The 13,789-nt window shown below is 57.3% G+C and overlaps 1 protein-coding gene across 2 annotated transcripts in view, besides 3 other annotated features; it reads right to left on the reverse strand.

Moving 5' to 3' along the window:
- Positions 367 to 13,789, reverse strand: part of HCN4 (hyperpolarization activated cyclic nucleotide gated potassium channel 4) — a 49,100-nt gene continuing 35,677 nt past the window's right edge. For both annotated transcript variants that reach the window (NM_005477.3, XM_011521148.3), the window contains 6 exons: positions 12,639 to 12,800; positions 10,081 to 10,299; positions 5,806 to 5,952; positions 5,463 to 5,703; positions 4,597 to 4,761; positions 367 to 4,457 (listed from right to left, as the gene is read on the reverse strand). In NM_005477.3, the coding sequence (NP_005468.1) occupies positions 2,989 to 4,457; positions 4,597 to 4,761; positions 5,463 to 5,703; positions 5,806 to 5,952; positions 10,081 to 10,299; positions 12,639 to 12,800 (2,403 nt within the window). In that variant the 3' untranslated portion in view covers positions 367 to 2,988. The remainder of the gene's footprint in view (positions 4,458 to 4,596; positions 4,762 to 5,462; positions 5,704 to 5,805; positions 5,953 to 10,080; positions 10,300 to 12,638; positions 12,801 to 13,789) is intronic.
- Positions 5,251 to 5,751: an enhancer, noted in NCBI's record as "H3K4me1 hESC enhancer chr15:73617084-73617584 (GRCh37/hg19 assembly coordinates)". NCBI's record gives its function as "activates a minimal SCP1, AML or CMV promoter by ChIP-STARR-seq in naive and primed H9 embryonic stem cells {active_cell/tissue: H9 hESC(naive and primed)}" and the evidence as "EXISTENCE:reporter gene assay evidence [ECO:0000049][PMID:30033119]".
- Positions 5,752 to 6,252: an enhancer, noted in NCBI's record as "H3K4me1 hESC enhancer chr15:73617585-73618085 (GRCh37/hg19 assembly coordinates)". NCBI's record gives its function as "activates a minimal SCP1, AML or CMV promoter by ChIP-STARR-seq in primed H9 embryonic stem cells {active_cell/tissue: H9 hESC(primed)}" and the evidence as "EXISTENCE:reporter gene assay evidence [ECO:0000049][PMID:30033119]".
- Positions 10,400 to 11,303: an enhancer, noted in NCBI's record as "NANOG-H3K27ac-H3K4me1 hESC enhancer chr15:73622233-73623136 (GRCh37/hg19 assembly coordinates)". NCBI's record gives its function as "activates a minimal SCP1, AML or CMV promoter by ChIP-STARR-seq in primed H9 embryonic stem cells {active_cell/tissue: H9 hESC(primed)}" and the evidence as "EXISTENCE:reporter gene assay evidence [ECO:0000049][PMID:30033119]".

Here is a 13,789-nt window from a genome sequence, read left to right on the forward strand (position 1 = left end):
CACCACCCTCCTCCTCAGCCAGCCCTGGCAGTAGGGGGTGGGAAGGGTCTCACACCTCCCCCACTCCTGCGTTTCTCCCCTCCACTAGCAAAGCACACATGCCCACTCGCTCTCACCCTCCTCAATGATTCTCACCAGTCCATAAGCACGTGCACACCTGTGTCCATAGCCAGGCCTTGCACATCCCCCGTGCACACCTCTATGCACAGAACACAGCTCCATGCTCTTGCAGGCATAGGTTTGCACATACACAAGTGCCCTCTGGGCCATGTCCCCTGCCTTCCACACCCGAGTTCCCAAGACTCCAGGATTTCCCAATGACCTCACCCCCACCCCTATCCCTGGCCCCTAGAAGAAGGTAGCATCTGCTGGAATTTTTTTTATTTAAATAAAATATACAATACGGCGCATTTACCGGTTTCTGTTTTAAAAGTGGATTTGAAAATTCCTTGTAGGTGACTGGGTGTGGGAGGGCCCATTGCCTGCACCTGTCTGTCCCAGTCTCTGCAGAGTGGCCAGGTTGGGTCAGAGCTATTATAAAATGCATGTGTGTGTAAGTAGAGAAGAGGGTGGTTAGGCCAGGCTCTGATGGCAAGGGGGCTCCTCATGGCCCTGGACCCTCCACCTTCACCCCTGCTGCCTCCAGGACAAGACTGTGGGTTTGGATCAAGTCCTGCTGCCTCTCAGAGCTGCCTTCCTTAAGGGGAAGGGGTGTGTGCAGAACTCAGGTTGAGGCTAAGTCCTTCCAGTTCTCAGAACTCCTGAGCCAGCACAGTAGAGACCAGTACTAGGCGGCGTCTAGTCTTTACCTAAGATCCCAGGAACCTTCACCCACTTCTCTCCTGGAGTACTGCCTCCCACTCCCTGCAGCCCATCTATGGAGAAATCGGTTTGTCTCACATCCCAGGATAGCTCAAGGCAAAACCCGATCTTGCCAACATTCTGGCTTGGAGCATGGAAGGTTCTGGATGGATAATGTGGGACCAGCCCTTCTCATTACTTGGGGATTGCAGCCATACCTGCTCTGGCCCTATAGGCAGGGGCAGACCCCTGACCTTGGCTCTGGCAAGATCCCATCTGGGAGGAGGGAGGATGGTGCCTCCAAAGGCATCTGAGCTGCTTTCTCGTTCCCGCAATCTGGAACCTGCTTATGGCTCCTAGTTGCCAGGACTAAGCCCAGACAATCCCTTACCCTATCACCCAAGGCCGTCCCTCTGACCCCTCAGCCTGGGGATCCCCTCCCAAAGCCCTGATCCACCACTCCACATCCACCTCAGGAATCTCCCCACCATACACTCCATCCCACCCACCATTCCCTCCCTCTCTCCCTGTTGAAGTCTTCCCACTTCTCAAGGCCTGGCTCCCACCCACCTCTGGCCACACACCTTCCTTGGGCCCTTAGGGAGGCCCAGCCACCTCCTGAGTCCTGAGATTTTAAGTCTTGGAGCCCTCAGCCAAAGCTCCCTGGGCTCTCACATAGTTTGCTGGAGCAATAGGCTGGGCATATGAGGGGCAGAAGAAATGTGATTTTTTATTGAGCACCTACCATGGTATGTGCCAGGCGCTGGGCTGGGCATTTCACATATAGATTTTTCTCATCTGGTCCTCATAGGTCCTTGTGAGGCAGTACCATAATTATTCCCATTTTACAAATGAGGTGACAGAAAGGTCAGATAACTTGCCCAAGATCATACAGCTAAGAAGTGGCAGGGCTGGGATTCAAACCCAGGCCTGACTGCTGCCAAAATCTGGTGTCTTCCTTCTGTACCATGCTTGGGGACCATCTACCTCAGCCCCCCTCAACACAGTTTTCTGATGGAAGGAACACAGACTTGGGCCTCAAGGAGGCGTGGACTCGAACCTCAAATCAGTCCCCACTCTGCCACTCCTAGTTACATGATTCTGGAAAAATTACCCAAAACTGTTTCTTCCTCTGCTAAATGGGGAGAATCAAAGTACCCACCCCATGGTCTTTGTGAAACTGAAGGAGTTAATGTGTGTAAAGTGCGAAACCAGTGCTTGGCACAGAGCAGACTCAATAAACAGAAGTTCCGCTCACCTCCCACTGTACAGATGGGCAAACTGACGGCCCCAGAGGTGGCGGTGTGTGCTTGAGGCCCTAGGAAAGGGGAGTCTTCCACTTCCGTGTGGTGAGAGGTCAGGCTGGGACTGGCTTTGAGACCAGAGATGGGGAGAGAGGGGGCCTGCTGCGAAGTCCTGGGGTCCTCTTCCCTGAGGACTGGAGAGAGAACGTCCCTAGACCATGCAGTGCACAGCCTGTGGGCCAAGGCGGGTTGCTGGGTGTAAGGTGACCTGGGCATCCTGTCAACATGGGATTAAACTAGACCGCACACGTGTGCGCACATGTGAGTGGCTATCTACATGGCTCTACAGAGCGCTACATAGCTATACATATACACATCTTACATACATATACATATACATATTCATATACAGATCTTGCTACGTTTACAGTAGAAAAAATGCTAGGCCCTCAGGGCCCTGGCCCTTTTCTCCCAAGGTCGCAGGCTTCTGAGGCTCCCCAGGGCACACCCCAGGGCAGCCCCTTTCTGGGGGCAGAGTGGAGCTCCAAGTTACAGCTAACGGGCTGATGGCAGCTGTTTCTCTAAATGAACACAATGACACATCTGCTCTAAGAACCGCCAACACTGGCCACTCCCACCCCTGCCCAGCCCCGGAGACCCCATCTGCCTTTCTCTGGCTTTTGCATTTGGGACCTGCCTGCTCCCTCCTCCCTCCCCCTCCCTCCCTCTAGTGCTGAGTATTAAAATAGTCTATAAAAGCAAGTGACCAAAAATCTATAGCTCTAAGAATACCTGGTTATTTTCTGCTGTCTTTTGTTTTTCTGGTGTGTGTGGTTTTTTAAATAATTATTACTGTTATTGGTATATCTCCTAATCACAGTTAAACCTGAAGGAAGAAGGAAGGGAGAGAAAAGAAGAAAGAAGAGGGAAGGAAGGGCCCAGCTCATAGATTGGATGGCAGTTTGGAGCGCACTGGCTCAGGCCTGGCCCCAGGTTCCCTCTGGGGTCCAGCAGTCAGAGGGGGCCCCCCAGAAGAGGTGGCTCTTGCCCCAAACAAAGACAGAGGGGGTGGCAAAGAACCTGAGGATGTCTTCCGAGGCAGAGTGACGTGCTGGCCGGGGATGGCACCATAGGGCCTCCCAGGGGGACCGAGGCCCCCGCTGCTCCCACTGCCCCCGCTGCCACCCCCAGCCCTGGGGAAGAGCGGGAAGGCAGCCATGGACTCCCCTGAGGAGTGCGGGGAGGCTCTGCGGAGAGTCTGCGCCCCGTCCTGAGGCAGGGCTGGCTGAGACGCGGAGATGAGCTTGAGGTCCTGGGTGAGGCGGCCGGGGGTGAGCGGGGGTGTGCCCCGGCGCTGGGGGACCTGGGGTGGTGGGGGGCTGGATGCAGGTGGCAGGAGCAAGGATCCGTGGGAGCCAGAGGCCCGGGGCGGGGCACTCGGGAAGGTTCTTGGGGGGCCTGGGCTGTGGCCAGGGGGGCTGAGACCTCCTCGGGGAGTAAAGCCTACAGGGGAAGCCCCCCCAGAGGCCCCTGCCACAAGGGACGGCGGCTCAGGCTGCCGTGGGGGTGTCTCTGGCGTGCTCAGTGGGCCAGTGGCCAGACCTAGGGACAACTCCCCGGGAGGCTGGCCCAGCTGCCCGGGGCTAGATGACGGGGATCTGGATGAGGGTGGGGGTGGCAGGAAGTGCTCCGGGAGTCCCAGGCCTCCCCGGGCCCCGGGTGGCGCGGGAGATGGCTGGGCAGCCTGCGGGGAGCGGGCGCCTGGCTGCAGCGGGGTGAGCAGGGGAGAGTCGGAGGAGGACAGGGAGCCACCCAGCGCCTTGTGGAAGTGGCCAAACCCGGCTATGGTGGTGGCGGCTACGCCAGCTGATGGTGTGGGAGCCGAGGGGGAGCCACAGGCCCCGGGGGGTGGGGAGGAGCTGGATGAGGGCAGGAGTGGGCTCAGTCCAGCGGGGGCAGAGAATCCAGCCAGCTGTTGGATGTGGAAGGAGGATGAAGACGGTGTGTCCACCTGGGACGGGCTGCTGGCGGGCGAGGCGGAGCCCAGCGCAGAAGGGATCAGGGACTGCAGCCGTTTCAGGTGCCTTGGCGTCTGCCCGGCACCGAGGTTGCCCAGCCCAGATCCTGGGGGAGGGCGGAAGATGGCAGCAGGCAGGCGAGGGTGGTGGGTGAGGGCTATGGCCACAGAAGTGGTGGCAGCGGCAGCCTGCAGTGGTGCCTGGATCAGCGGGGTCCAGATGACGGGCGTGGGGGTTGGGGTGGCAGAGGCAGCAGCCTGGACGCGGTGCGCGCAGTGGGCCATCTCCCGGTCATGCTGCACAATCTGCTGGATGATCTCATTCTCCTGGTAGTTGAAGACGCCGGAGTTGAGGTCGTGCTGGACTTTGTGGAGGAGGATGGAGTTCTTCTTGCCTGGGCCACAGAACAAGAACAGGCACTCAGGGCAGAGCGGGGAAGGAGATCAGGTGCAGACCTGGCTTAGGCATAAAGGAGCCCTGCCCTCCTCCCCCAACACCCCCCACCTGCCCCGCCTGTGGCCCCTCCCCCTCACCAATGCGGTCCAGGCGGTCCAGCGCCACGGTCTCGAAGGCCCTTCGCATCATGGGGTACTCCTCCAGCACCTCATTGAAGTTGTCCACGCTCAGCGAGTAGAGGCGGCAGTAGGTGTCGGCCCTCACGCTGGCTGTGCGCCGGCCCCGGGTCAGCAGGCAGATCTCTGCCAGAGCATCAGGACTCAGGATGAGGCATGCACAGCCTGCCCAGGCCAGGGGGACTGCCCACCCTGACCTTGGCCCTGACTGCCTGGCACAGAAGCCTTGGCAGGCTCACAAGGCCCTGCCCCCAGACTGCGGCCACACTGGATGCCTCTTCCCCACCAAATGGGGGCTGGACAGACTTTCCCATCTTTGGGACATACCCTCTGCTCTGGACTGAATGTGTTCCCCCAAAATTTATATGTTGAACCCCTAATCCCAGCATGATGGTATTTGGAGGTGGGGCCTAGGGAGGTGATTAGATCACGAGGGTGGAGCCCTCGTGGATGGAATTAGTGCCTTTTTAGGAGGAGGCCGGGGAGCTGGCTCATCCTCCTTCTGCCACATGAGGACACAGCGAGAAGTCAGCAGTGCAGCCCAGAAGAGGGCCCTCACCAGCCCCAACCATGCTGGCCCCCTCAGCTCAGATGGCCAGCCTCCAGAACCATGACACATACATTTCTGCAGTTTACAAGCCACCCAGTCTGCGGCACTTTTGTTACAAGAACCCAGACTGACTAAGACACCCCTACCCTGGGCTCACAGACACCTCCCTCCAGGCTGTGGCCAAGAAGGGTGCTCACTGCCTCTGTCCCCTCGGTATCTCCCCAAACCAGCCCCTGGGAGCAGCTGCCCTGTCCCCCAGGGCCCAGGGCTGCCTCACCTCCAAAGTAGGAGCCGTCGGCCAGCTTGGTCTCCTTGTTGCCCTTGGTGAGCACGCTGACCACGCCATGCTGGATGAAGTACATCTTCTTGCCAATGGTGCCTTCCCGGATGATGTAGTCCCCAGGCTGGAAGACCTCGAAACGCAGCTTGGTCAGCATGGACGTCACGAAGTTGGGGTCCGCATTGGCAAACAGTGGCATGGAGGCCACCAGCTTCCGACAGTTAAAGTTGATGATCTCCTGCCGGACAGGGTGGATTGGGACACGGGAAGGAGGTGGTGAGGGGAGCTGGCTGCCAGGAAGGCCTGGCTCCCCTCCACGCCGGGCCGCCACACAGCTCACCTCCCGCAGGGGCTCGCTTAGCTCGCCCAGGATGCTCTCCTCGTCGAACATCTTGCCCTGGTAGCGGTGCTCGTAGTAGTCGTGGATGCGCTGCCGGGTGTCGGGCGGGAGCTTGTGAAAGGACATGTACTGCTCCACCTGCTTGTACTGAGGCCGGGAGAAGGGGGCGTCAGCTCCACCCCACCAGGGGGCGTCAGCAGCCAGCCCCACCACCTCGGCAGGCACCACATCCGGGCACCCACCCCGGGGGATTTCCTGGCTAAACTTGGTTCCTTGAGATCTGAGGTCTACAGTGTGGAAATGACCTCACTGTGCTCAAAACAACTGCCCGGGCTCCCAGCTGCTTGGCATGGAGGAGGGGCCCCCACCAGCATCTGCTCCTCGCTGTGTTCAATACTAAGGAGGTGGGTGAGGGCGGCAGGGAATGTCCAAAGCCCAGTGACAGGACATCAACTGTATCTCCAGGGAGGTCGATCACATTTCCTTGGAATGTTACACTGGGGACAGGGAGGCCTCACCGACTCTGCGGGGAAAGAAGCTGTTTCCTCCCAGCAGTGACAACTGGCACAGTCAGGAGGCAAGGGTGCGATGGATCAGAACGCTCAGAGGCAGAAGCAAGGATGCCTGGCTGCTCGATGCTATGAATCCAAACGTGGCCTCAGCTGAGACCCCGGGTCATTTCGTTGAGAGCAACTCCAGGTAAGGGAAAAGCAGGGTAGACTAATTTGAGGGGACCTTCAAATAGAGGCTCGGGTACAAAAGATTTGTGAGCCTCAGACCCTGGGGCTCAAACAAATAAGAAACGATCCTGCCCGCCCTCACTGAGAGGAGTGGACATTGCTCCCACCATCCTAGATTGTGGGTGGACAGTGGGATTCCCAAGAGCAGGATGAGGGATGGGAGGTATTGATTAGGCAACAACACAGACTCCTCCCGGATGGGAAGTAGAGGAAGTCCCTATCACCCCAGCAGCAATCAGAAACGGGGCAGCCTGTTTGCATCTATGTGTGCTCCAAAGAGGTGGGAACGCACAACTGCTGCACAGAAACACCCACGGGCAAATGAGGGCTGAGAAATGACATTTCCTAAACTTCTTCCAGCCACCCTGGCCTCTGACTGCTCCAAGTTATGCAAAGTCCCAGGGGACAGTGACTTCCTGGCTGGTTACAGAGATGGAGGCAGCTGGAAAACCTGGAGCTGTGTTTTAGAGAGTCCCTCCCCTGACCCCCAGAGAACAGGTAGGGGTAGGGAGGCAGGGTCTGGACATGGGGCAGGAGTTAAAAGGTTGAAGTGGTCCAGGTGAGAGACAGACGTGGGGATGGAGAGGAGGGAAGACATTTAAGAGAAATTTATTGGGCAGACTTAGATATTAGCCAAAGGACAAACATTTTAAAGTCTCAAATGAAAAGCCACAGACGCCTTGACTCTGGCCCTAAAATAAACTCTGATGCATTTTCTTTTCTTTTTTTCTTTTTATTTATTTATTTATTTATTTATTTTTTTTGTTAAGACAGGGTCTCGTTGTGTTGCCTAGACTGGAGTGCAGTGATATGAACACAGCTCACTGCAGCCTCAACCTCCTGGGCTCAAGCGATTCTCCCATCTCAGCCTCCTAAACAGCTGGCACTATAGGCACATGCCACCACGCCTGGCTAATTTTTGTATTTTTAGTACAGACAGGGTTTTGCCACGTTGCCCAGGCTGCTCTTGAACTCCTGGGCTCAAGAAATCAGCTCGCTTCAGCCTCTCAAAGTGCTGGGATTGCAGGCATGAGCCATCATGCCCAGCCTCCCAGACGCTTTTTCTTTTTCTTTTTTTTTTTTTTTTGAGATGGAGTCTCCCTCTGTTGCCCAGGCTGGGGTGCAGTGGTGCAATCTTAGCTCACTGCAACCTCCGCCTCCTAGGTTCAAGTGATTCTCCTGCCTCAGCCTCCCTGAGTAGCTGGGACTACAGGTGTGCACCACCACGCCCAGCTAATTTTTTTTTTACTTTTAGTAGGGATGAAGTTTCACCATGTTGGCCAGGCTGGTCATGAACTCTTGACCTCAGGTGATCTGCCCGCCTTGGCCTCCCAAAGTGCTGGGATTACAGGCGTGAGCCACAGCGCCCGGCCCCAGATGCTTTTTCTAAACTAATCCCTGATCTTGACCCCAGACTAAAACCTAGCCTTGATCACACACTGAGCCCTGACCCCACTCACATGCTGAGCCCCACCCCAGTCACAGGCTGGGCACTGGTGCTGGCTCCAGAAGGATCCCTCACCTGGCTGAGCCCCACCCCAGTCACAGGCTGGGTCCTGGTGCTGGCTCCAGAATGATCCCTCATCTGGGCCCGGACTAAGCCCTGACCTTTGTAGCTTGATGCCTTCTCTACCTCCCTAGGAGGTAGAGAAGGGTCCTCTAACCTAGGACCCTGTGTTCTAGCCAGGCTAATTTCTCTGCCACCACCCCTATGCTCATCCTCATCCTGATGCCTGGCCTAGAATTCTCTTCCACCTTCTCCTTCCTCTGCTTCCCCACAGTGAGCTCTCCTTGCCTCCCAGCTCTGTAGGCTCTCCTGAGCTCTCTTCTTGGCATCATGGGACCTGGACCTCCACACCTGGGTGGCCCCCACCTGTCAGTCACCCCACCAAAGGACAGTGCCTGGGACAGGCAGGCAGGCAGTGAATCCACAAATGCTGACCCTACTGTGTGCCAGGCATGGGGCATAAAACAGAAAACGACATACTGGGTCCTCCCCTCATGGAGCCGTGGCCTGGAGAGGGAAGGTGGGTTTGTTAAACAGATGGCTGCCTATGGTTAATTACATCACCACAGAGTGCCGAGTGTGGTGAAGGAGGAGAGGGTGCCATGGGGTCACATGACAGGTGAGGGGCTGGCCAGGTCACAGACGGCTTCTCTAAGTGGTGAGGCTGGACGTGGAGAGGGTGTCAGGTGGACACCTGGGGAGGAGAGTTGAGGGTGAAAGCCCGTGTCTGGGTCCCATGGCAGGAGCAGGCATGGGGAGAGAAGTCTGGCCAGGCTGAAATAAAGGGTGCAAGGCCCAGGGCAGGAGCTGAGCATGAGGGCAGATCCCTGGTTATGCTCCTCAAATGCCAGGCTGGGAAAACATGCTGAGGAGTTAATCTACATCTTCAGAGCAACGTGAAGTCCCTGAAGAGTTTCAAGCAGAGGATGAGGCTGACGTGTTTTAGATGCCGCTCCAACTGCTGTGTGAGGTGTGCAGTGGAAGGTGCCAGGGCAGAACCTGCTTAGCTGATAAACACAGGGGAGCTTACTTGCAACCCCCACAGCCTGATGCCCAGTACCACCCCCGCCCTGCAGATGAGGAAACGGGGCCTCACGCTGTGGAGGCACAGGCCCACGCTCAAACAGAGCTCGGCAGCAGAGAAGCTGGGGTAGGGCCCAGGTGGCCTGACTCCAGGCCACAGGACTCATTCTCTGTGGTGAGGGGGCTGCTGTTGAGACCCCAGGGAGAGATGAAGCTGGGGACGGGGGAAGGTGGTTGGGATGCAGAGAAGGAGCTGTGGCTTTGAGGTAGGCATTGATGACAGAGAGAGGCCAGGGATGGCTCCTAGTCTCTGGCCTGGGCATCTGGGAAGAGCAGAGACTTGGAGTAGAGAGAACAGGGCAGCCTTCTCATTACAGACATGAGGGGCGTGGGGTGTCCAGAGAGGGATGAAATAAACCACCTGGAGCTGAGAGATGAGGTGGGGCTGCTGATGCTGTGCAGGCCCCACTGTGCAAAGATGGGCACAGAGCCTGTGGGCCTGGGTGGTGAAACCACAGCACCGGGGCCCCAGACAGAGGGAGGGTCAGGGGCGAGGCCCGGGCCACTGGGGACTCCAGTGGCAGTGACTGGGAAGAGAAGCCAGCAAATGGGGGCAGGGGACTGGCCAGAGGGGCAGGAGCAACACCGCGAGAGTGCGGTCCTGGAGAACGAGTGAGCAGCCAGGAAGGGCGTGGTGACTGTCAAATGCCTACTGGAGCAGCACGGAGGGCACAGGGCCTCAGCCAGGAGCCACAGGCCCCAGTGACACTGGAGACGGGGAAGGTGGGAACAGAAAAAAAGACATGTGGAGGGGCCAGGCCAGGGAGCTGAAACTCAGATTCTCATCTCAGAGGTGTCTCCCTCCTCCTGCTCTTCCCTCACACTGGGAGTTCCGATCCTGTGGGGTGGGAGCAGGGGGCGGTTCCTGCTGGGGGCCCACTGGCTGGTGGCCTGTGCTCCCTCTTGGGAGGGACCAATGTGCGGGTGCTCCCTGGGTAGACCTACCTTTTCCTGGTACTGGCGCCGGGAGGAGTCCAGGGACTGGATGAGGGCAGTGGCGTGGCCAATGAACATGGCGTAGCAGGTGGCACCCACGATCATGCTGAGCATGGTGAGCCAGACGTCGGACATGCCCACGGGCGCCTGCCGCCCGTAGCCGATGCACAGCATGTGGCTCATGGCCTTGAAGAGCGCGTAGGAGTACTGCTTCCCCCAGGAGTTGTTCTGTGGACAGACGGATGGGTGGGGACAGTGGATGAGAGGGAAGGCCCTTCTCACTAGCAAGAAAAGGCCCTGCCACCTCCTCACCTCAACCTAACTTTCTCAGTGGCTGGGCCCAGGGCTCCCTAACCTTGCTGTTGGCTGAAAGCCTTGGGTGAGAAGCAGCCTGTGCTGCCAGCGAGTCCTCCTCTTGTGCCTTCCTCTTGCAATGGGGGCAGAGATCAGACTGGAAGCCCCAGTAAAGGTACGGGAGCCAGCGTGGCCCAGCCCCCATGGGGCAGCTTGGAGCCTCCTGGCTGGGTAGCAAAGGCCCCGGGCTGAGCCACCGTGCTGTCCTTCCCTTGCTAAAACAGCTCCACCCCCCAACCCCCTAAACAGCTGCCAAGTGAAGCCCATTTCCCCACTGACCTCAATTATAAAACCAGATATGCTTCCCTTGGGGGGACAAGCTCTGGCGGACTGAGCCGAAAAACACTGTCCTCATTTTGGATGAGCAAAAGTTAAAGCTGTGAGCTAACGGGCCTCCTGCATGAACCCTGCCCGCCTCTGCTAGGGCTGCGGCCACCAGTTCTCCTCCCACTACCCCCAAGGCAGACTCTCCGGAACACACAAGGCGTGGGGACAGGAGGAGGGAAGCTCTTGGCTATTTTTGTCTACAAAGCCAGTCGGTGTCTCAAGGAAGGCTCAGCGTGGGAACACTGGGATCGGAAGGGCCATCTCTTGAATTTAGTGCATGTGTGGGCCTGCCACCCTCACATAGAGAGGACACTGCCCCAGATGAGGGCCCATTGAACCTGACGAATGCCAGCACTGGCCACCTCCCTGGTGTCTTTCTGCTCACAGGGCAGATGCATGAGCCACAGTGCAGAAACCTACCCAGGCCCACAGAGCACCTGCCAGAGGCCCAGCCCCCAGGGGAAGGCGCAGGAGCCCGTGAGCTTCGAGCCATATTCAAGGTCAGCCAGACTGCCCTGAACAGAGCTGAGCTGGCTCCTTGGGTCTGATGGCTCAGTCTAGACTGGAGTGGGGACCAGGAGGGCTCATCCCCAGGGGTGGAAGAGACCTGGGTTCCCAGCCTTGGGGAACAGGGGTAGGCCCCCAGCGGCCTTTACTGCTGAGCCTCTGGGAACAGGGAATTCAATCCATATGGCTGATTCATTTACACTTAGCTCATCAAAAGGCTGTTTTGTAAAGGCCTGTTTGATGCTGAAAGATGCCTCAGGGTCTCTTTCACCTCTTTCAAAGCCAATTTTTCCTCCCCTGGGGCCCTGGGAATTTGCCTTCAGAACAAACCAAACTGACTGGGAGGAAGCCTGGGAGAGGCAGGGGTTCACCAGAGACACAGAAAGGCTCACAGATCCAGGGTGTCTTCTGTCCTGCCTGGAACCCACCTCATCCACAGGGGGACTGGAAACTCTGCCCTATGGCTTCCGAGGCCCCAAGTTCAACTTCTCTCACCCACCCTGACCCACTTGCAAGGTTGGAGGGATAGGGTGGGGTCAGGCTTCATCCTGCCTGCCCTCCCTATCGGGACTCCACCTCGGATCAGGATATGTTGGCGAGTGGGGGCAGCCCAGCTCTGCTGTTGGAGTAGAAAGTGACCACATATGACCTGGGAGTCTGCGTGGGCTGCAAATAGTACCCTTGAAGGCGTCTGTTTTCTTGGGCTCAGCTTTTTGTTTTTTATTTTTATTTATTTATTCCTTTTGAGACAGGATCTTGCTCTGTCACCCAGGCTGAAGTACAAGCGAGCTCAAGGGATCCCCCTGTACAGCCGGGACACATGTGCTTGCCACCACACCAGCTAGTTTTTTAAAAATAAATTTTATTTATTTGTTGAAGTCAGGGGTCTCCCTATGCCGCTCAGGCTGGTTTACAATTCCTGGGCTGAAGGGATCCCCCTGCCTCGGCCTCCTAAAGCACTGGGATTACTGGTATGAGCCACTGCACCCAGCCTCAGGCTCAGCTTTTAAGGACTTGGCTTCTAAGGGGCAGAGGCAGGAGGCCAGGAGCTGCCAGCCCAGCATTGCCATGCCTGGGGGAGGCCGCCCAGGTCTTAGTCTCCCTGGGTAAAATCAAGATGAAATACTGAGGCTCCCAGTTGCAATGGAGGCTGTGAGAAGATGGAGGTACCAGCTCCCAACCCAGAGCTGTGAATGGATCCCTGGACTGGCAGCAAGCGATTGGGCCTGTACTGGGTAGAGCTATGTGCCCCCTCAGCCCCAGGCAGCACTCAGGGTCCTACATGCTGGAACTCAGAAGTTCCAAGTCCACATCTCGCCACCCTACCTCTGGAGAGCCCGCCTATGGCCCAGAGAGAGGACCGGGCTGGGCGCACTCACCACCATGTTGTTGATGGACACCCAGCAGTCGTCAGGGAAGTCCTGTAGCATGGGTACCAGGAACTGCAGGCAGCCGTCCCAGTGGCAGAGCAGGAGCATCATGCCGATGAGGTTCACGATGCGCACCACGGCGCTGGCCAGGTCGTAGGTCATGTGGAAGATCTGCCAGCAGAGGAGGAGAAATTGGCTGGGATAGGTGAGTGGCCAGGAGGGCCAGCGGCCACTTTCCCTGCCCTGGAGCTGCTGGTGGGCACTGCTCTGCCTGGACTCTGCAGGGCGCCCACTCAGTGCAAATCCAGGCTGGGGGTGGGATGGGAAGGCGTCAGTCTAGGTCTTGGAAGAGGAAGACTGTAGGCTGCAGGGTCCCAGAGGGACATCTCCTGGCATCTATACAGATGGGGGGTCTTCCTGAAAGGTCTAGCCATCCAGGACATGTGGAAGGACACCTGGAGCCCCATGCAGCCCAGAAGTGGGCAGAGAAGCCACTTTCTCAGCTTTCCTGGGGTGTGAGGATACCAGGGAGAAAAGCCTGCCAGCCTGAGGCTCCTCAGGGAACCAAAAGTCTACAGACATGCCAGGGGCGTGTTTCCCTAAATCTATCACTAAATTCTCAAGACTCACACACGGTAGCCACGGAACTGCAGAGGAAGCGGCACAGGCTCACAGGCCCCAAGTTCAGGCAGACCTTGATCCCAAGCCCAGGTCCTACCCAGTTCCTAGCTGTGTAACCTTGAACCTCTCTGATCATGTTTTCTCATCTGGAAAATGGTGATAAAAATTCTTATCTGAGTGGGCTGTCAAAAGGACTAAATTATACATATAAAGTGCTTAGTAATGGGTAGAGGAGTGTTCAATAAATTACAAACCATTATTAATTGATAAGCTGTTATTAATAATTAATCTTCCTGATTGGTTAATACGTATTTGGGGTAATGTTCTCCTTTACAGCACCCTTGACCCCAGCCCACTGGCACCAGCCCCTCTCTACTCCTGCAGCTCGGAGTGGGGGGCTGCAGTGTAGCTGGACAGGGCCAAGGTGGGCATATCCCAGCCCCTCCTCCTCCCAAAGCTGCCATGCTGGGGTCCCCTTGCTGACAGGGCAGTGGGGGATGGAGAGGTGGAGGCAAGTCTAGAGGAAAGTCTCTGGAAGC

The sequence above is a fragment of the Homo sapiens genome, chromosome 15 (assembly GCF_000001405.40).
Source record: "Homo sapiens chromosome 15, GRCh38.p14 Primary Assembly".
Classification (NCBI taxonomy): domain Eukaryota; kingdom Metazoa; phylum Chordata; class Mammalia; order Primates; family Hominidae; genus Homo; species Homo sapiens.